The sequence below is a fragment of the Homo sapiens genome, chromosome 2 (assembly GCF_000001405.40).
Source record: "Homo sapiens chromosome 2, GRCh38.p14 Primary Assembly".
Classification (NCBI taxonomy): Eukaryota; Metazoa; Chordata; class Mammalia; order Primates; family Hominidae; genus Homo; species Homo sapiens.
Genome location: NC_000002.12, coordinates 164828109 through 164850634, shown reverse-complemented (window position 1 = coordinate 164850634; position 22526 = coordinate 164828109). Strand labels below are relative to the sequence as shown.

The 22526-nt window shown below is 38.0% G+C and overlaps 1 protein-coding gene and 1 long non-coding RNA gene across 11 annotated transcripts in view, besides 1 other annotated feature; one reads left to right on the top strand and one right to left on the bottom strand.

The window, feature by feature from the left end:
• Nucleotides 1–1238: 1238 nt before the first annotated feature.
• LOC101929633 (uncharacterized) lies at nucleotides 1239–9886 on the bottom strand. The gene is made up of 2 exons (NR_110574.1): nucleotides 9813–9886; nucleotides 1239–1793 (listed from the first exon to the last, which is right to left on the bottom strand). It is a non-coding gene; the product is annotated as an uncharacterized LOC101929633 (long non-coding RNA).
• Nucleotides 8559–22526, top strand: part of COBLL1 (cordon-bleu WH2 repeat protein like 1) — a 184146-nt gene continuing 170178 nt past the window's right edge. For 4 of the 10 annotated variants that reach the window (NM_001365671.1, NM_001365670.2, NM_001278460.2 and 1 more), the window contains exons 1-2: nucleotides 8559–8678; nucleotides 9389–9479. In NM_001365671.1, coding sequence (NP_001352600.1) covers nucleotides 8591–8678; nucleotides 9389–9479 — 179 coding nt within the window. In that variant the 5' untranslated portion in view covers nucleotides 8559–8590. Of the gene's footprint in view, nucleotides 8679–8811; nucleotides 8926–9202; nucleotides 9480–22526 lie in introns of those variants that run through there. The other 6 variants (NM_001365673.2, NM_001365675.2, NM_001365672.2 and 3 more) reach the window with 3 other exon arrangements.
• Nucleotides 8629–8838: a silencer, noted in NCBI's record as "silent region_12065". NCBI's record gives its function as "represses an Ori minimal core promoter by ATAC-STARR-seq in GM12878 lymphoblastoid cells {active_cell/tissue: GM12878}" and the evidence as "EXISTENCE:reporter gene assay evidence [ECO:0000049][PMID:35858748]".

Below are 22526 nucleotides of genomic sequence, written 5' to 3'. Positions count from 1 at the left end.
TTCAGTGAATTGACTTGATTTTGATATTTAAAATACATATTAATTCTGAAATAACTTAGGTAATTCATTGGTTTTGCTAGACTGCTATGACTGATTTCGACTGAAGCACAGAACTCACGAACAAAAAGACTGTATTCTAAAACCACCACTAGCATGCTCCACCAATTTCTTACATTCTTCAACTTCCTCAAACTTTTTTTCTTTGACTGGCATATTTCAGAAAGAACTGGAAGAAAGTTCTTCGATGTTGAAATAGTGTTAACCACAGCTCAGCTTGTTCTGTGGTATTGACAGATCGCAAAATTTATAACATACATAAGAATCACACCTGGAGAAATGAGACAATACTTCATTTAAATCAAAATATGTAGGGAAGAAAGGAGTCTTATATTTGCCAGACATAAAACTATATTTTAATAGCATTCTATGTAAAAGGTCACTGATTATCACAAATAGTCCCCATGTAGAAGGAGATTCAGAAGTTAAAACTGATATGGTAGTTTTGAAGTCTGGGTATTTAAAAAAAAAAGTAAAAAGAAAAAATGGCATGGTTTCCTTTAACACGGTCAGAAAACAAAATCTTAATCCCATTTTTGTTTTTCATTCCAAAAACAACTATTTATTTACTTAGTACATTCCTAGTCCTCTGAATGAAAATGTTTGTTCTTTGTTGATCAAAATTATGCACTCTTATTTATTACAACAGAAAATTGTAAAGATCTAGAAAATATGTATCACTATCCCTGAAATATACACTGTAGCCCTTGTAAATATGCAATCACATAAAAATACATCAAACAAGAAAATCACCTTATTTAAGTAAGCTTATCTTGCCACTTACTTGTATTATGATAGCTGATAAATACTGTAAGCCCAGGAGAAAATACTTCGGTCAGAGATCTGCAACACTCTTTCCATTACCTTGTTAATTGCAGACTCATACCTGTATGCCAGGGATGCCTGAGTGCCCTCTATATGCTACACATTCAGCTAAGTCTGTTAACTGTGTTCTCTCATTTAATTTTCTCAACAATCTTATGGAATAGCTATTATTTTCCCAAGTTACTAGATGAGCTAAACAATAAAACCCAAAGTTTACACACTTACATATATCTGATAAGTTATGCCATTCTTTTCTGCTTTTCTATCATTTTTCAATTTCTGCTGCAGTTACCAAGGAAAAATAGTTAAAGTAGCCAATAATGAATGTTTAAAACATTAAAAAATCATACCTTATATGTGCTAGAAACAGTAATTTCAACATACTAGGTGGACTTTTGGCAGTGTGTTCTTCCCATCACACTATTTGTAATCCAAATATTCATTTTGTGTTTTTTTCCATGTCGGGCTGCCTTTGATTTTCCTAGATTGTTGTTGTTGTTGTTCTTGTTGTTGTTAGTAGAGGAAAATATACAGTGTCATTAATTCTGCTGCAAGTCTCTCATGGGGTGGACCTTGTTAGGAGTACAGAATGATCTGATTCAATTTCACCCTGTTCTGTACAGTTTTCAATGTCTTGGGTGGATCCCACGTAGAACATGGATGAACAATAATAAGACTTCACATTTTTATAGAGTCTTTGTTCTTGGTATGGTCAAGGGTGCTCATTCCGAATGCGTCTGAATTTCTGATCATCTCTCAGTTTTTCCTCTCTATATCTCTATATTTTGCCTCCCTGATCTTCATATTCCTTAAATGAAAATGGATATGTCTACAACTTTAAACTCTCCCCAGATTGAAGTGTGTCCTTTGGGACAAGGCAGGTTCAGGTAGGCAGTACCTTTGAAGATGGCCTAGGAGATAGGAGAAGATATTCAGCATGCTGCTCACACAATAATATTTATTTGCTCTGGGATAACTTTTTTAATCTGCTATGATTGCAACGAGGTAACTGTAATGCTACTGCAAAATAAAGTAAAAATCAGAATAAATAACTTTTGATTCTAGTTTTGCTACTTTACTAGTATCAAGGCTTTGGGCAAGTCTTTGCTTCAGTTTCCAGAACAGTGAAATAAGGATATGAATGTCAATCTCTGCAAGCCTTTAAGTGGCTCAAACTAGATTCAATAAGTGAGAGTGCTTTGCAAGGGGCTGTATGTGACATCTTGTTATTAATAGTCCATATATATGAATTCAATCGTTTTTAACACAATGAGCTTGATTACTCAACATAGATAGTGAGAAAACTCAGAGATCACAGAATATTTATAGATTCATTACAGAGATAAGGAAATTGAAGATCCCACAGTTAAGTGATTTACCCAAGGTCACTATAGAGCAAGAAGCCAGAGCTCTCAGCTTGGAGGAGGAAATTTTCTGCTTTACAGATGGCAGCTTGCAGAGACACAGCTGGCTCCCATTTGTAACATTTGTTTAATAAGGGCCTCCATTACCCTCACTGGACACTTACTCTTTGCCAGGAACAGTAAATTTCCTAATGTCACCCAGATAGTAAGAATCAAATCCAGGGATGTAAACTCAAATCTGTCTGGCTCCAGAGCCTGAGCTCTTAACCACTGTGGTACTTAGTTAACCGCACACACACTCAGCCTCCCAGAAGAAAAGGCACAGGAGGGGCAAGGAACCCTGCCAGGATGAAATATGCTGAGACTTGTTAGGTTTTATGCCTGGAAAGCCAAATCAGTGGCTACCTGGCTCAAAGCTGTACATTTTGAAATACATGGAAACTGACAAGCAGTTAAGGCTTTAGGAAGCTCTGTAAGACAGAAAGGGAGCGATGCAGCTTCTAGTTACAGTTAGAATTGAATAGGCAATGTAAAATCCTAAATACCAAGATTTAGTAAATTGTATCACATAAAATAGATAAAAGTTGACTTTTTTTGTCCTTTTCCTTTTTTTTAAAGAAACACCCATATTTGAATGGTATTTGAATTTTAAATTACCAAGGTACTTTGAACAAAACTGATACTTTAATGTGATAAAAGAGCTTATTTACTTCCAATGAGTAAGAAAATTATTGCCAACAGAATTACAGAATCCAGAAACAGAAATTTATTTGACAAAAGGATATGTTGAAGAGGGAAATGAGAAAGTAGATTTTAGTTAACTTTGTGTTGATGGAGAATCTGAGCTTGAAGTTTGAATGGGCACTGAAAACTCTGCCCTCTTTCATGCTCATAGCACTAAATTACACGTCTGCATGCTCGTGCACGTTTCCCCAGGCCTCACCTCTATTCTGGAATGTGTATATATTAATAAAGAGTCTCTTTTTAGCATCGAATATGATAATATAGAAATATAGCACCATTTTAAGAGATAGCATACCAAACTCAGGCATTTCTTCTTCTGATACTTAGGACTGAAAAATTATTTACCTTTTGGGAGAGCAGTAAAAGGCCCTACACTGATTATTGACCAATTTCCTTAAGATTTTAAGTTGATTGAGAGTCACAAAAAAGTACTGATGAGCCCAATGGTCCGTGAGCCCCTCAAGGGCAAAGGCAATATCTTTGTGATCTTTGTTTTCCTAGCCCAATTCTTGGTATAGCAGATATCCAATAAAATTCTCCTTTTATTGAAATAAAATTTAATTCATGAATATATAATCTTCTCGGAAGTTCTATTCTAAAAAATGTTCAGTGATTTTTCATGTTTCAAAATATAAAATCTGATGAGTTAAAAACTCATTAAAATGGACAACAAAGCACATCTATTTTGGTTCTTTCAATCTCTAGAAGGCTTGTTTGTAAATGACCCTCCAGATATAACAAAATACCTCTGTAATTCCAAATATAGGATGATGAACAGTGTAATTCATATTTTCCCTTTAAAAATAGTATTGTATTTATTTTCTTCAAACTTTGATATCAAAGTAAATACTAAACTTCATACAGGAAAAACAGGGATTTATTTACATTTTAGGAATAAATTAGCCAAATATGATTTTTATTTCTTCTGTTAAACAATATAAAATAACTGGATAAAAATATCTCCCACACTCAATTACTCTACAAAAAATAATTGTTATCTCTAGTACTTAAAGAAGGGGGTATGCATTAAACTTGAAAGTATGAATAAATGTATTACCACTTCATTTGAGTATGTCATTTAACTCACATACTAAAATAGATATGACGAGAGTTAAAATGGCTACAATTACTATGGTTATTAAAAAACTACATAAACAATACAGCCTTTAGCTATTATATTTGACTTTAAAATGTTTAACAATTGGCTTTAGTTCCAATGGACAAAACTAATTCTGTCAGTTTTTATTATAATTGCATACACTGGACATCAAAGTAAAGATTTAATCATTTAAGAGTTGTTGACTATTTTTCATATTTTCCTTTGTGTATTTCTAACTTCAGCGCAAAGAAGAAAAAAGTTCTCAATGAAACAAAATCAAAAATTTTTTTTCATGAATAGACATTTCTGTGTTAAGGAAACTATAATATTTCAACAAACATATCTGTTGAGTTTATTCTTACCTACTAATTGTTGGTCAGTTTGAAAAAAAGGCATTAAAATAAGATTACAAATTGGAATAGGAGGGAAGGGAAAAGGAGATATACCCGTGATAAAGACAGCAGTGGCTAATTACAAAACCTGGCCCAGGATTCCTGACAGCCAAAGAAAATATTTTTGGTACTTTGAAATAAAGCTCTCATGAAGCATTTATATAGGGAACATCAAATTCTAACAACACTTTCTATGTGTTAATACATGTAGGAATACTCAAATTATGAAAGCACTACACAGAGATGAATGGATAATTAACTATTATGCATATATTACTGAATTGAGAATAAAGCTACAATTCTGACTTTCAGCTCCCTGTTTTCATCAACAAAGTCTTATGCATAAATAACATAACATATTTTCTGAGATTGGGCAGTTTCTATGAAATACAAAGTCTGAAATAAGACTTTTATTAAAACTGAAATGTAACAACTCTGATCTTGTTATATAAAACCACAAACACACACATGTACACAATCTAAGAAGACATAAAATAAACACTTCCTTTAGGTTGTAATGTGCAAAGGTGAAATGCACAGAAAGATATTAACCATCTTTTAAGTGTAATTTTTCAGTTTTAAATAAAGCTTTTCAAGTGGTACTTATAGTGGAATAAAAACATACTTAAAATAAGCATTTAAAAATGTTTTCATTATTCCAAATAGTTTACAAAAATTTTAGACAAACTCCAACCATTATGGCCCACTTTAACATGCCTATCTGCTTTTTATATAAGCACACAGGTATTTATTAAGCATGTAAACCTCCTTTCCATTTATTACTATCCAGGAGGAATATGAAACCTAGATTATTATTCAGAGAGATATATAGCTAAGTGGACCTTCATTTAGCTTCATTCTACCCATTGATTTTGGTACTAACCCCATTAGGTAACCACGTGAAGAATAAGTCTTCTTTCTCTAGTAAGACAAACTCACCTTCCATCTGTTCCATTTAAAATGGCCTACCAGCCCCTTTGAGTTGAAGTCTTTCCCTGAATCAAGTTCCTTTTAGGATTCTTCTGAGGAGGGAAGGCCTGAAGGTTTCCTTCATTCCTTTATTCAGTACACAAATACTGGTGGAGAGTCTCCTGTGTTCTGGGCTATGCTTTCAGGAGACAAAGGATAAGACGTGGTCCTTTAAGAGTAGGCTGGGCACTGTGGCTCACGCCTATAATCCCAGCACTTTGGGAGGCCGAGGCAGGCGGATCACAAGGTCAGGAGTTCAAGACCAGCCTGGCCAACATGGTAAAACCCCATCTCTGCTAAAAATATAAAAAATTAGCCGGGCACGTGGCACATGCCTGTAGTCCCAGCTATTCGGGAGGCTGAGGCAGGAGAATCACTTGATCCTGGGTGGTGGAGGTTACAGTGAGCCAAGATCATGCCACTGCAGTCCAGCCTGGGTGACAGTGAGACTCTGTCTCAAAAAAAAAAAAAAAAGAGAATAAACCCCTCCAACTCTGCATTATGTAAATGAATAACTGAAACAAAGTGTCATGGGTCCTTGCCCTACCTAACAGAACCTACTGGGGGCCAAGAAAGGGAAGGGCTACTTCTATTTCTGCAATGAGGGAAGTATTCCTGAGGGGATAATACCTATGCTTAGGCACTTAAAATGATCGGCTGGGTGGTGAAATGAGGGGGAGATTCCCAAACGGGGAAATTGAGCGCAATCTTGGAAACGTGGGCAATTTTGAAACAGCTCTGCATAACTAGAAAGATTGGAAAACAGCAGTTTTCTCCTGTTATGTGAAAAGATTTATAGCAGCCAGGCATGGTGGCTTATGCCTGTAATTCCAGCACTTTGGGAGGCTGTGGTGGGCAGATCACCTGAGGCCAGGAGTTCGAGACCAGCCTGGCCAACATGGTGAAACCTTGTCTCTACTAAAAATATAAAAATTAGCCAGGCGTGGTGGTGGTCACCTGTAATCCCAGCTACTCGGGAGGCTGAGGCAGGAGAATCACTTGAACCCCAGAGATGGAGGTTGCAGTGAGCCGAGATCGCATCACTGCACTCCAGCCTGGGCAACAGGAACAAGACTCCTTCTCCAAAAAAAAAAAAAAAAAAAAAAAAAAGATTTATAGCAAATCTGTGATTATTATTTTGCTAATCACTGGCTACAGTGAGGATAGCTTAGTACCATTATGTGAAGACCACCAAGCTTGGTGGTGCTCTTAAGTGGTTTTGCCCAACATGAGCTTATTTCTTGCTTATGTGGATTCTGTTGTAGGTCCTGGGACTCTCCAGGGCAGCTGTGCTCTGGGTAATAGTTTAGCATTCCAGTCTTGTGTCACCTTCATTTTAATACATGCTTTCATGATTGCAGTAGCAAAGGAAGGGAACATAGAGACTCAAACACTGGCAGTAATTTCACCAGGAAATAAAGCATTTCATGTCTGTTCACATTTCCACTTATCAAAGTCACAGGGTCATACCTAATTTCCATGGGGTGGAGCATATAGTTCTCCCTAGGACCAGAAGGAGGACAGCAAAAAGTGGTAAGCACTGAAAATGCCTTCAGTGGTTACGAAATGTTATGAATGTTTTATGACTAAGATTAGCCTAATCTTACTGGTATTAGGGTCCATAATATTACTAGTATGTCATAAATTAAGGCTGAAACTAATTAAAGATTTAATCTTGTCTTGTGATTGAAAGTTATGGACTTTCAAGTAGTTTCACTGTTACTCAATATTTGCATCATTGTCTGTGCAAGCAACTGTAAAAGCTTGCACAGCTCTGTATTCAGAAGCATAAATGATTCATGAAATTGTTTAAACAGAGTTATTGTTTAAAGACTAAAACCCAGAGGTATTTAAATAAATTGCTTTACTCTTAGTTAAAATCTCTAAAAGCAACTTTTTCTAATATGGTTCCAGTATTGTAATCCAAATGAGCCATGTGTTTTTTTCTTTTCATATTTAAGATGCACTGAAAGGACATTATGCACTGAAAGAAATAAATACCAATGCCTGCGTGTGGTAGACAAATGGCACATTGCTAGGCATTTAGTTCAGCAATCTTTTTTTGTTGCTGCAATGGATAACCAACTAAAGGAGCATTAATATCAATTTAATTGTAATACCTGCCAAATGTTATTCTATCAGTGGCTAACACAGGTTTATTACTTGATGTTAGTGCTACAACAGAAGTCCCCTGCAGGATGTTCCTTCCTGTAAGATCTCTCCATCAGTTTAATCCAAATATGTTTTTAAAACTCTAATTTTAAATTCATTTCTTAATGTCACGTTGTTTTCTGAAAACACATTTTTGGGCCCATCAGAATGGCGCGCATCTTAAAACAATTGGCGCTTATGAAAAATATAAAATATGTAAATATATTAGGGTGGTGCAAAAGTAATTGCGGTTTTGTCATTACTTTTTAAAAAAAAAAAAAATGGCAAAAACCGCAGTTACTTTTGCACCAACCTAGTACCTGTCTGTCAGGTGTAAAGAATCATCTAAAGGGCATGCACGTGGATACTAAAACGTACAAACAAGCACACAGCTGTGTCTGATTCCTTTACCCTTGTAAAAGTTCCAATAAGTGAATACAATCTATTACTTAATTCTTAGTTTATAGACTGTCATTAGACATACTGTTGTCCAGTTCTCATGTCAGAGCTGTTATAGGCTTTTACAAAAAATGCCTCTGAAGACAGGGCAAGCTTAAACCTGCCACCAATTAGAAAGATCTGTGTCACAGGTGCGCTTTTAAAAGAATGGCAATCTTAAAGGTCAAGTTAAAAACACAAATTTAAAAAAACGATCCTGGACGTCGAGGGTCGGACTCTAGGGGGGGCAAGCTGCAGGCCCCACTCTGCGAGTTTCTGACCGCATTCCGCGGAGGCCCCAATCCTCCCCGCGGATCCTGGCAAGGCAGGTAACCTCCCTTCCCCCGCACCTGTCCGGTTCAGGCGCACCAGCCTTCCCGAAGCGCAGCCTAGCGGTGGGAATGGGAACACCTCGTCTGGGAGCTTTCTTTCGGTTCAGCTTCCCCAGCCGGACCCCAAAGACCCGAAGCCCTGGGGGAAGGAAATTCCAACTTGCTCCCGGCCCACCCCCGCCCCGTTCCTCTCTCCGGCTCGCTGCTTCCCTCGCTCCAATGCCGCCGAGCTGGTCCCCACTTATGTGCGGCCGTGCTGCAGAGGCGGCGGCGAGCTCCCGGACTCCGGGCAGGGAAATGGGGCAGGGTGAGTGAGAGAGCGGGCTCCAGCGAGGCCCCCAGCGCCCAGCCAGCGCCCGCACCCCGCCCGCGGGACAGGGGAGGTGCTGAGTCGGCCCTGCCCGCGCTGGGCTGAGCCTCGCAGGGGTTGCCGCTTCTCCATTCAAGTCCTGGCTTGAGAGCCGAGCGGCAAGAGCGCGGGCCGGGGAAGGGAAGAGTAGGAGAGGAAGCCGCGAGGGAGAACAGGCGAGCTACTGTCTCCTTTGGAAAAGAACGTAGGAGCCTTGGGTGGGAAAAGAGAGATCAGCCCTCCCAACTTCTCTTCGGGAAAAGTTTTCCTAGGGCGTTTTGTTTGTGCAAACTCGGCCGGAGGAGCCTGGGAGTGCGCTGCCGGCGTGGCAGCGGTGCCCGTGCGCCCGGCCCCGCTCCTCCTCCTTTTCCAGCCCCGGCGGCTCCTCTCCCTCCGAGAGGCGCCAAATGGCTACCCAGTAAACCCCACGGGGCGGGGGCTGCAGCGCCACCGCCTCCTCCGCCGTGCTCTGGGCGCCCGCTAGACCTTGTAGAGACGGCGGCGGCGCCCGCGGGCTGGGAGCCGGGGCCCGCAGGTGGAAGCGCACCCGGGAGGCGGGCCGGCCGGGGCTGGAGCGGCTCGGGCGGGCTCTTGACGCTCAGCCAGCTTCGCTCCGGCCTCGGGAAGGCGCGCGTCCCGCCCTGACCCGCCGGCCTCTCCCACCCCAGCAGTGACGCGCCGCCTGGGAGCTGGAGCCCGCGCAGCGCCCCGCAGGGCGATGGACGGCCGAACCCCGCGCCCGCAGGACGCCCCAGCCAGGTAAGCCCAGAGCGCCGCGCCGCCTCTCACCGGGGAGGGCGAGGCCGGCGAGGACAGCGAGGCCTCGGCCGTTTCACCTGGCTGGCAACTCGCTGCCCTGCCGGCGGCCTGACTCACTGACTGTCCTCCACGCGGCCGGGGAGGCTGCTTCCTCCCGGCCTTCTCGGAGGCCGCCCGGGCGGAGGGCTCGGGTCGTTTTTGGTTGCCTTCCTACCGGGGCTGCCCTGGGTTGCTACAGGCCAGCTGAATGCCAGGAATTGGGTGAGGAGTCCGGGAGCAAAAATTGTAACAAAGGGACCCTTGTTTGGGCTCTGGGGGAGCGGTGGACGATACCTGTAAGTGAGCTCCTGGGGAGGGAGGGCAAAAGTTTCCTTGGTCATGGGCTGAGGCCCAGGCAGGTGAGCAATGTCAAGGTGACTGTAGGGAGTGGGCTTTCTGCAGGCGGGTGGAGGGCGACAGGAGGGTGTGCCAGCTGTCAGCCCGCATGACAGTTCCGGGAGCGAGCGGGGTGCGCGCCTCTGATTGGGGGTGTGTGTGCCTGTGGCCAATTGCTGGTTCCAAAACCCAGCGCAAATCAGATTGCAAACAACTCTACTTTTCTTTTTATCCTCACATGTTTGAGAAGAGAGGAAGGGGGCTGTCACATGGTGAGTTAATATTAAATGAGGCATGTCTTCCTGCCAGATATGCTAATAGTTACCTTGTTAAGCGTTTGAGTAAACAGTAATGAGAACAGGTAGTTCTGCAAGAGATGAAGAAAACCTGAAAATAACCTTGGTCTTAGTAAATAGTTCAGGAGTAACCTGGATGCTAGTTGAGTTTCTCAAGTAGGAAACTCGTTTGATGTAGTACAAGATTTTTCCCCCCAGCATAAGTGTTCCTCCAACATAGTTTATTTTCTTAGTTAATCTGAATGCAGAAATGCCCTAATGAGAATACGAGCATTCCAGAAATAGAAACGTTAAGGAAAAATCGACGTTGTCACTAATGAATGAGACTTGTACAGTTTTCCTGATTTAAGAGTGTAGAAGTCATTTTTCCCTGGAACATGACAGGCGTTTCCTTAGAAGCAAGTCACAGCATGTTTATTCATCAGAGACCATGCGAACATTGGCAGCTGTCTAGAGGAAACATGGAAAAGTCTCAAAGCAACATGACTAATCTAAAAGATATTTAGTATAATTTTTACATAGAGGAAACATGTAGTGTATTAATTATTTCATTTTGCTCAAATTAACTTTCTCCTTTCTGCAAATATTACTCCCACTGTTGACTTTCATTTCTTTTCTTTCCCCAGGTTTTTCATTGCTTAAATATTTTCATATATCCTGACATATATTCTCACATTAGGATGAGTAAAGAAATATATCGGTAGAAAGATATTGAGCATACAAGCAAGGTTCCTAAGTGGAGCTGCAAAATTATGTGAATTGACGATGAGACAGCTGTCAGGATACCGAAATGTATTCAGGGATTGCAAAATGAGATAGAATTAAATTGGATTTGGAAATGGATTAGGTTAAGGTACTTTAAAAAACAAAAAAGAAAGAAAAACATACCTGCTTTCACAAAATACACCCATGGGTGTTCAGAAGTCACTGGGGACTTTTAAGTAAAATAGGTGAGGTCAGATGGCTCTGTGTTGAAGAAACAGAAGAACACTTTTTGCTGGCAAGCATAACTGTAGTAAGAACCTTCAGACTTTACTCTTGATATTTTATTTTAATGTAGAGACAAGGTCTTGCTATGTTGCCTAGTTGATCCGAAACCCCAGGCTTCAAGCAATCCTCTCACCTTGGCTTCCCAAAGTGTTGGGTTTACCAGTATGAGCCAGTGCGCCCAGCCACTTTTGAGAATTTAAAGGTTAAACTGATAAGTTCTTTGCTTAAAAAGAAAGTACAAAAGAGCCTTATCTAATTTGTCAAGCATTTGTAAAGGACTTTTGCCGTCCCCTTTTCAAATTTAAGTAGGGAAAATCTGTCAACACCTTATCTAAAATAACACAGTAGTTCTATCATTTTGCCTTACATTATTCTACTCAGAGAAGTTATCATTACCTGAAAAATATCAACATGAAAAAATTACCTCTCTACTTCATTTGTCTTATTTCACTTGTCTAACTTGTCCTTTGGCATATTCCGAATGCCTGTCATATAAGATTTGTTGAATATTTAATATTCAGTATTGCTTCTCTTCTCTCTCAAAAACCCAAATTATAAAAGGTTTAAACTGGGGGAAAAATATCTAGATAAGGGTATTTGGGAAGTGGCAGGCAGAAATCTTAATATGTTATAATTGTTAGGTTTTGGAGATAAATTTCTTGCTATAAAACTGACTAATTATATCATAACTCATTACTTTAATAGACAATGAAGCCTAGTTTAGTCTTTATCCTTGGATATTACTGTTGGAAAGAATTCCTCTGTAATTTTCCAAGTTTTACATTGTTGTAACATGTCATTTTAACATAGCACCAAGTTTTGTTCTCCACATTTTATAAATGAGAATCTGAAGCTCAGAAACACTGAGTGTGTTGAAGTCCCAGCAAATTAGTAGTAAAACCAGAAGAAAAACTCCAAGTGCCTAGTTCATTTTGTTAATTGCTTTTTATCTTTTCTTGACCATGGTATGATATAACATACCATGACGTTATACATTTTAACGGATAACTTATATTTAACCATTAACTCTGTAATATTTTAATACATTTCAGGAAAAATGTAGTTGATATCCTTATCTTCACTTTTATTAATTCTATGATAAATTAGCCCATTCAGGGAATGAGTATTTTAGGAAAATAAAATTGTTTTATGGCCTCTCAGCTGCTGCTTTTTCTTTGAAACATTCTAAATAATAATTGTAACATCAAAAGGGATAGTTTGAAGTTTGTTTGGTGCCTTCACACATTTAACTCGCATTTAGCATTCTACGACATTGTGAATTATATGGGTTGGGTGTCATTTTCTTTTCAGTGGAAGCAATGGTGTGCAGAAATAGTGGCTGCCGTAGGGTCTGTGCTGGTGAAGTCCCTGCCTTAAAAGGGTCTGATCCTGTGGTCATCTTGAATGTCTTTCATTTTGGCCTCTACTGTACTGCTTTAATCCCTTACCATTCTAGATTAGATCCCTTTCTTTTGAGACAGGCTGGAGTCTTGCTATGTTGCCCAGGCTGACCTTGACCTCTTGGGCCCAAGTGATCCTCCCACCTCAGCCTCCTGCATGGCCGAGACTACAGTCACAAGCCACTGTGCCTGGCTTTAGATCACTTTCTTAGTAACATGCAGAAGTATCCACTTTATATTTGTTGTTCTGTATCTTATGGGCTTCTTTTTGGAATTCGTTATGAGGTTAAGAGTTTAGATATCAAAAGACATTGAGTCACAACAGTTTCGGTTTTCCTTCGAGAAAAAAGATTGCATGCAACTTTATATATATTCAAATGTAATATGTACATTCATATATAATTACATATTTTATGTATACTATACATATACATACATATATACTCCTATCTAATTCATGTATATATGTTTTCATATGTATGTGAAAGTTGACTGGTTTAACTTACATAGTGATCTAGATGAAAAATGATAAATCATTTTTATATTTGTTTCTATGAAGTGGAAATCCTAGGTTGGTTTGCGTTTTTTTTTTGCAGAGAGCAAAAATGTTGGAGACACTGGTTGGAAAATTGAAATGCTGCATTGGAGAAGAGAGCGATAGTCAAAAGTAATTTCCTTCTCTAACGTGGATATCCAATTAGTAAATTTATTTAAGTTTTCTATATTAGTACTTAGTAAAGTGACATTAATCACTTAGAAAAAGCAACATGATTGCTGACATCAACTTGGGTGCTTATCTTTGGAACTAGTGCTTATGTTCTTTACTTGCCCAGATATGCTTTAAAAAAAAAAATCCTTCGAAATTTAAATGTCAAAAGCTTAATTGACCTTGCTCTGAGGGATCTTAATATTTTGATTCTGAAGCACATTTTCAGGAATGTACAGAGGGGACAAAAGCTCTCTTTATCATTTTGCAGCTTTGGAGCTATGGAGTTAATTGAAGGCATACGAAAAATTAAAGAATGATTTAACAGCTGCTTTCTTAAGCTTTTGTTGAGGAGTGTTATTGGTTCTAAAGTTTCACTGATTGTATGAACTGAGTTCTTGAATACTTGAAGTTGAGTGACTTCTCTGAGGTTTCAACATGGGAGTCATCTGGGATACTTTCACACGAATTCTTGGGCTCTCATGCCCCCACCCATTCTGATTTTAATTCTCTTGGTCTGGGACCAGGGGATGGCTAGTTTTAAAATGCTGCTCAGGTGATTGTAGTGTGTGACCAGATTTGAGAATCATTGATTAAGTAGATATCAATAGCTGACATGGAGCTGATGCAAAAAAGAGAATAGAGGCTGTTACTAATCATTTATAGGGAACTCAAGATTGTAACTTTAGCATTATTTTGCCTTTTGAAAGATTCCATGTAGCTGCTTTGCAATATTATTTTTAAAGCTTTTGCTACTTCTTTTTGAATAAGTATATTAACTTCATTTTACAATGAATGAAACTGAGGATCAGAGAGCTTAATTAACACATTGAAGGTCATACAACTCTAAGGAATGGAAGAGTATTAGAAACAAGCTCTGATTCCAAACCTATGCTTTTCATAGTGCTATGTTTGCTACCATGGATTATACTGAATGGCTAAAAATGATTTTTATTTAAAGTGGCCTTATAAAAGCATTATCTTGATTCTTTTTAAAATTATGTTTACATTTTATATTTAAAAACTATAAATTTCAATGCATATAAAATGTCTAGCATTTAAAAGGAGATTAATTATTTGGCTTATGTCTTCAAAGTAATGTGTAACATATTCCTGTGTATGGTATGATGTAATTTAACTCATAGTAAACTGGCAGTTTTTTTCATCATATGACAAAGTCTATACTTATTTTTTGATATTAGGCAGCTATTAAATGTATAACAATATTTCAAAAGTAGGATTTTTGATTACTGAATAACAAAAATGAAATTATTTATTAAAAATGCTATACTTGCCCTTCAAAATCAATTACCTCTACATGAGTTAGAGGATATTGAATAACAATATTATGACCTTATATTTGTACTGAAACGCCAGATGTGTTAATATAATAATAAATGCCAAACTTCATGTTATTAAGACAACTACTTTTAATTAATCAGTCAAAAACTCCTGAACTCTTACTTTATATAAAACATATTTTTCTAGGTACTGGGAAATAGGCTTCTAATCTTAAGAACTTCACTACAGAAATTATATGTATCTGTAGGAATAAAATGAACATGATGTTAGTGTATAAATGGTACTTTGTTACTGGCTTAAAACATTATGTCTATGCTTAGAATTTAAAATGCAACAGCCTAACTTATGGGTCAGCAAACTATGTCCTGAAAGTCAAAACAGCCCTCTACCTGCTTTTTTATCCCCCTTTTTCTCCATTGTGGTAAAATATGCATAGCATAAAATTTACCATCTTAGCCATTTTTAACTGCATGGTTCAGTGGTGTTAAGCACATTCATATTGTTGAACCATCACCACCTTCCATCATTATAACTCCTTCCATCTGGCAAAACTGAAACCCTATACCCATTAAACAATAACTTCCCCATTCCACTTTCTCCAGCCCCTGAAAACCACCATTCTACTTTGTCTCTGATTTTGACTACTCTAGGTACCTCTTACAAGTGAGATCAAAGTCTGTCTTTTTTTGACTGGCTTATTTCACATAATGTCATACATGTTGTAGTATATATCAGTACTTTATTGCTTTTTATAGCTGAATAATATTCCATTGTATGTATAGATCACATTTTGCTTATCCATCCATCAGTGGATACTTGGGTTGTGTTCACATTTTAGTTATTGTGAATAGTGCTGTTGCTATGAACATGGGTGTACAAATACCTCTTGAAGACCCTACTTTCAGTTCTTTTGGGTGTGTTGTTAGAAATAGAAAGTCTGGATCATATAGCAGTTTTATTTATTAATTTTTTTGAGGAACTGCCATACTGTTTTTTGTTTGTTCTTTTTTTGTTTTGTTTTTTTTTACAGTGGTTGTACCATTTTACATTCACCAAAAGTACATGAGGTTCCAATTCTCTTCACCAACGTTTATGTTATAGAGCCCCCCTTCCCTGTAGCAGCTATCCTAATGGGTATGTGGTAGTATCTCATTGCATGTTTGATTCCTGTTTCCCTAATGTGTAGTGATTTTGAATACCTTTTCATTGGCCATTTGTAAATCATCTTTGGAGAGATATCTGTTCAAGTCCTTTGTTTTTCAATCTGTTTTAATTCTGTATATATTCTGGATGTTAATCTGTTATCCTCCACCTGTATTTATAGAGTTTTACTGGCAAACAGCCACCCATGCTCATTTGCATATTATCCTCCAACCGCTTTCACATTATAGTTGAGTAGTCCAGATAAAGACCATATGGCCTGCAAAGCTAAAAATATTTGCCCTCTGGCTCTACACAGACAAAGTTTGCTGACCCACTGGCCTAATTTATAAGATCAGTAAATAAACTAGTAATTGTTTAATTAAAAATTTATTGCATACAGGAGACTTCTAAGTATTAACTGAAATGTCAGTTAAAACAAAATTATTATCTGTATGGAGTGAAATATATCTTATACTAGGGGATTTTGCAGAATGGAGATTGGTGATTGATTCCTTTTTCAAGTAAAGACTAGACTTGGCTGTTGGCACACATTTTAGACTTTTAACATTTATAAGATATTAGAATATATTTTAAAGAGAATTCCAGACTTCTGTGCCAGAGAAACTTTAGAAAAAATGACTGATATAATTAAGAAGATATTTAGAAACGAATGTGCCTAGGAGGAAATGGACCAAAGGTAGAAGGAGTTCTTATCCAGTTTTTTGAGTCTAAAAGTCAAAATGTCTTTATAATTTCCAGCAAGTATTTTTATTGTTGTTGTTCAAGATACTCATATACTCAAGCTTTTGGTGTTCTAATATTAGTATGATAGTTGTTATGAGACTTTTTTTTATGACTTTGCTGTGCTAAATTTTTTCCCCCATCTGCTACAGTAAAAACAAACTAAAAGTATGAGAGAAAGAAGTTTCCCATGACTATTTATAAAAGGCCAAACGTCTTCAGTTTTGAATACAAACTTCATATCTGAGGAATGAATCCTTTGGAAAAGATTCTCAAAGATTGGCTAGTCTTTAGAAAAATGATAGAGTGAGCATGGGTAATTTATTTCATTTAATTTAAGTTCACTATACTGTTTATAAATTTAAATATTTTAAAACTGTTTACTTTAGATGTAAGAAATCTGTGGAGTTGAATTTTGGAGCATTTTGGCGAAGTGCTTTAATTGGAATTGTCGGCCTGGCGCGGTGGCTTACGCCTGTAATCCCAGCACTTTGGGAGGCCGAGGTGGTTGGATCTTGAGGTCAGGAGATCGAGACCATCCTGGCTAACACTGTGAAACCCCGTCTCTACTAAAAATACAAAAAATTAGCCGGGCGTGGTGGCGGGCGCCTGTAATCCCAGCTACTCGGGAGGCTGAGGCAGGAGAATGGCGTGAACCCGGGAGGCGGAGCTTGCAGTGAGCCGGGATAACGCCACTGCAGTCCGGCCTGGGCGAAAGAGTGAGACTCCGTCTCAGGAAAAAAAAAAAAAAAATGTAAAGGCAGGAGAAATGGCCTATTAAGCTCAACTCATAGAAAGTTGAACACTTAGTTCTATTTGTAGCTTGTAGCTATTTATTTATTTATTTTTGAGACAGGGTCTTGCTCTGTGGCCCAGGCTGGAGTGCAGTGGCACAATCTCGGCTCATTGCAACCTCTGCCTTCTGGGCTGAAGTGATCCTCTCGCCTCAACCTCCCTAGTAGCTGGAATTACAGGCATGTGCCACCATGCCCAGCTAATTTTTGTACTTTTTGGAGAGATGTTGTCCAGCTGGTCTCAAACTCCTGGCCTCAAGAGATCCTCTCGCCTCACTCGCCTCAGCCTCCTAAAGTGCTGGGATTACAGGCATGAGCCACCGTGCCGGGTTTGTAGTGTTCTGTTTTTTGTTTTTTTTGTTTTTGAGATGGAGTTTCACTCTTGTTGACCAGGCTGGAGTGCAATGGCGCTATCTCGGCTCACCACAACCTCCCTCTCCCGGTTTCAAGCAATTCTCCTACCTCAACCTCTCGAGTAGCTGGGATTACAGGCATGCGCCACCATACCCGGCTAATTTTGTATTTTTAGTAGAGACGGGGTTTCTCCTTGTTGGTCAGGCTGGTCTGAAACTCCCGTCCTCAGGTGATCCGCCCGCCTCGGCCTGTCAAAGTGCTGGGATTACAGGTGTGAGCCATTTGTTGGGCCATTTGTAGTTTTTAATTCCTCAATTGAAATCAGAGCTGCAGGAGTAATATAAACAATTATTATTTTTTAAAAGTATGGTTTAATAGGACAGAGGTTTTCTTTTGTAATGACTTCAGACTTGTAGAAAATTCCTTTGTACATAAAGGTGTAAAAATACCACATATTTGAAAATAGCCAAAGTGTTTCAGAAGCAAGCCTCTGAAATGTGGTTGAATAAGAAGCTGAGTTATATAGTAGTTTGGGTTCAAAATATGGCTGTACTTATAAAATCTGATTTTTTTAAATATGATGTGTAGGTTGACTTTAAATAGGATCGAATGCTAAGGCATCAGAATATGTCTTTAAAATAATATTAATCATTAGAAAAATTACATTGTTTCTCAGTGTGATTAATTTGAGGGATTAACACCAAGTAATTGGTAGGTATTCTGGTATATTTTTAAAAATTAAATACACCATTTTACCTTATAGCCTAAAGTAAAGCTTTACATCATAGCTTCTGTAATTACAACAACATATATTTTTAAGGAAGTAGAGTTAAGATGCTCAAATCTAGGTGAGACATTTATCGACATTCCTTGAGGATTCCATCTCTCGAATCTGCCTTCATGCACATGCACATGTACTATTTCTGGAGAAATGGAAGCGAGGAAGTATTAGATGAGCCCAAGGGGAGTAGCGGGGGCTGAAGCCAAAGTTTTAATAGCTACTACAGTTGTGTATTGATTGAGATGTGCTGGAAAAACAGGAAATTGAGCTGCTAAACAGGAAAATGACTACTATCCTACCATTCCCAGACCTGATTGGCTGTGCCACAGTTTCTAGGCCAGTTAACTGTAATCAAGATAATTACAGGAGTCATTGAATTCATTTTCTCCTTTGTGCTAAGATGAATGCAAGTTACACACAAAATGGAAGTGTCCGAGGGTAGAGCAACTCTTTCTCTTTTTTTTATGCCTGATAGTCACTTGCTGTATTACTGCTTTAACAGAATTAGGAAAGAGACAGGGTCACTGTCTTATAGGACAATACCTGTATTTCCTGGTCTGTGGCAGCTCCCATAATTCTCAGGTATCCGTGATTCAGTTATTGGTGGCAGACTCCTCAGCAAACTGTCCTGCTACACTGTGGGAGTGGGTTCTTCCTGTCTCTTGCTCCCACATAAAATGTGTTGTTCCCCATTTCCAGATGGCAGCTAGGTGCTTTAACTTAAAGCAAAAAAAAATATTTTTTCTGTGCTTCAGGAGAGCAAAGCTGAAAGTGGTAGAAAAAAACATCAGCAGCTGAAAAGAATATTTAAATATTATTTAAATATTTATTCTACTAGATAACTTAAGTAAAATTTAAATGATCCCTACTAGATAATTTAAATAAAATTTAAAATAAAATTTAATAAAATTTTAAATGTTAAAATTTATTTTTATTTTTATTATTATTTTTTGAGACAGACTCCCACTCTGTTGCCCAGGCTGAAGTGCAGTGGCTTGATCTCAGTTCACTGTAACCTCTGCCTCCCAGGTTCAGGTGATTCTCCTGTCTCAACCTTCCGAGTAGCTGGGACTACAGGCATGAGCCACCATGCCTGGCTAATTTTTGTATTTTTAGTAGAGATGGTGTTTCACATGTTGGCCAGGCTAATCTCGAACTCCTGAACTTGGGTGAACCACCCGCCTTGGCCTCCCAAAATGCTGGGATTATAGGCATGAGCCACTGTGCCCTGCCAAAAATAAAACAAAATTTTAAATGCTTGTGATCCTATGATATCAGTCTTTTCAGTTTCCTCTTTCTCTGAAAGTGGGTAAGCTTTATTGTGATTATTACCTATGAACTTTGTTCCTCCCTTTAGGAAAGTGAGATTTGACTTTGATTGAATGAAAAATATTTAATGCTAGTAATCTGAAAAGAGGAAATATACTCATTTTTCCTCTCACATTTGAATTGGGATGAATTTTATATCTAGAATCTATTCCACCTTCTAGTTTACTTCACTTTACCATACATCATTTTGAAATATAATCTGATCTGAAACGAACAATATTCCAGAGTAATTCATACTGTATGTCTGTGATTCTATGTAGAAGTATGTCGTAAATTCACTCTTAGATGATGCTAAGAAAATATAGTCCTGAAGTTTGTGCTCGTATTCTTGTGAAATCTAGAAATATATTTCCAATGCTAATTTAGTTACATGGTTATAAGTAGTATAATCTTAAATTTAGGAGAATTTTTATAGCTTTCTAATCAAATTCAAGATTCGTATATATATGTGGGGTGCAACACTTTGAGATTTTCATTTTTTGTGTATCATTTAGTACACTAAGGTTATGCATGTTTGAGTTAGTGGCAGTTCTAAAAATTATCTGAGGATTTTGAATATGTACTACAATTTTTGATCACCCAAATCCATTCTTTTTTGTTGATAGCAATGGGGGATTTGAATGTCTTGGATTTGGGACATTCACAGTTTCCATATATTACTGTAAAGCGTAGGTAAGGTAGAGACCGACTTTCTGGCATCCCATGGATATTTGGAAGGGTTTGAACACAAAGGTACCACAAATACCAATGGTATTAAAGGAATAGCCTTGGGGCACCAAGAAGTACAGTTTAGGAAGCAGGGAGTGAGTAGTACAGTGAAATGATTTAATTCCATGGTCAGCATCTTTTACTACTACTTATACTGAGGAACTCGTCTCTGCTTAGTTGCCACTCAGTGGCTGAACCATTGTGGATGGTTTTGTACCCATTATCACCATGGCCCTAGGACTCTCTTTTTTTCAGAATGTGGATCTATGTCACACCAATATGGACCTATGTCAAACATTCTTATGGAAGTGGAAGGAGTGCAAGAAAAGGAGGAGACCATTTAGGATTTGAGAAGGGAGATGCCTTTATTCTTAAACCTTAGGGAACCAGCCAGCTTCTGAAATTTGACACTGCTAATTAAATAGTTTTCATTGTATATGCATCTGAAGCTCTATAATTGGCTATCTCAAGAAAAAAATTTTAAAGTATTTATATTCAAAATAAAACTGGAAAATCTGGGAGATTTGGGGTAATACCCCCTGTTCATATACAATTTGATATTTCATTTGTATTTAAATATATTATTTTTCAGTTGTGTATATGATATATATTTCCTTCTTTTCCCTTTGCCCTTTGTGATCTGCTTATGTATTTACACTACTGCTTCATGGAAAAAAATTAAATTTCATGGAGTTCTCTTCAAGGGGAGAATTTTATTTTTATTTTTTTGCTTTAGTTAGCTAAGTAGATGCATGCTTTGCTAAATGGAAATGTAAGAATAATTGTGTTTTTATTTGGGGATGTGGATGAAGATGAAAGAAGAAAACAAGCAAAATATATTTAGTGAGTGGGAAAATAAAAGCAGAACAGTTTCTGATGGTAGAAGAAGAGGCTGCTGTGTTAATGCTGGACTGTATTGCCACTAAACAAGCAGTTTGAAGGCTGTGATCGCTTGTATTCACTTTGTAACTCGGGTACTGTTTGTGGAGCACTTCTGTGATCTTAGGTTATTATGAAGTGTTTTCTGCCAAAGACTATATATAACCCCTTCAAAAGTACCATATCTGATTGTGGGGGAAAATATTTCATCCAAAATTAAACTGATGGTTGTGCTGATGACAGTTCTTTCCAGTGGTATTTATGGGTCATGTTATTTATTCGTTATTTTTCTAATAGGCAACATATTCAAATGTCACAAAAAGCAAAAGAGAAAAATGACAAAATGGTGAGACATCTCCTTCTAGCATCTTGGTTCCTGTCACCCACTTCCTTCACAGAGGCAATCAGTGTTATGAGTTCTTTTGAATCCTGGTAGCATTCTAAACTAGCACCGTCCAATGGAACTATAAGCCACAAATGCAATTTTAAATATTTTAGGAGCCACATTAAAAAATTAATGTAAGTAACATATTACATGACACATGGTTATATGATTCTAAGTCTTTCAAAACAATAAAGTTGTCTTTAACAAAAAAATATTTTATGCCAAGTCAGATTTGAAATGTAAATTAATTCCGTTAAAATGTCAGTTTCTTAGTCACGCTGGCCACGTCTCAGTTGCTTGAGAGCCTGATGTGTGTAGTGGCTACTGTATGGTTAGTGCATCTCCTTATATTCATGAGCAAGTGGGTGTACGTATATAATTTCTCCCTTTTTTATACACAGTGAGTGCTGCTTCATACGTTGCTTTTTTACTTAACAATCTACTTTGTAATTATTCCATTTTATTACATAAAGAGCTTTATTTTTTTTCTAGCTATGTATTATATCTTTGTAGGGATGAATTTTAATTTATATAACCAGTCTCCTATTGATAGATATTTAGGTTTATTCCCCTCACTCACCCTTTGCTATTGAGTTGTCATTTTAATAACCTTTATGCAGTTTACAATTTGTTGTGAAACCCTAAAAGGAAAAGGCCATATTCTTTATTCCTTCTTTTGTGTAACTTGCAGGGTTTAATATCATTTCCACATATACCTAGAAACAATGATCAGTTATTGGATAGGTGGTATTTGAGTTTGTGTGAACTCAAGCAAAAAGTCAGTGTTGGAGATGGAGACAAATTACTTGTCCATTGGAACGATAGGAGCTCAGTTATGCAGAGTATTGAACCGAGTAATTAATA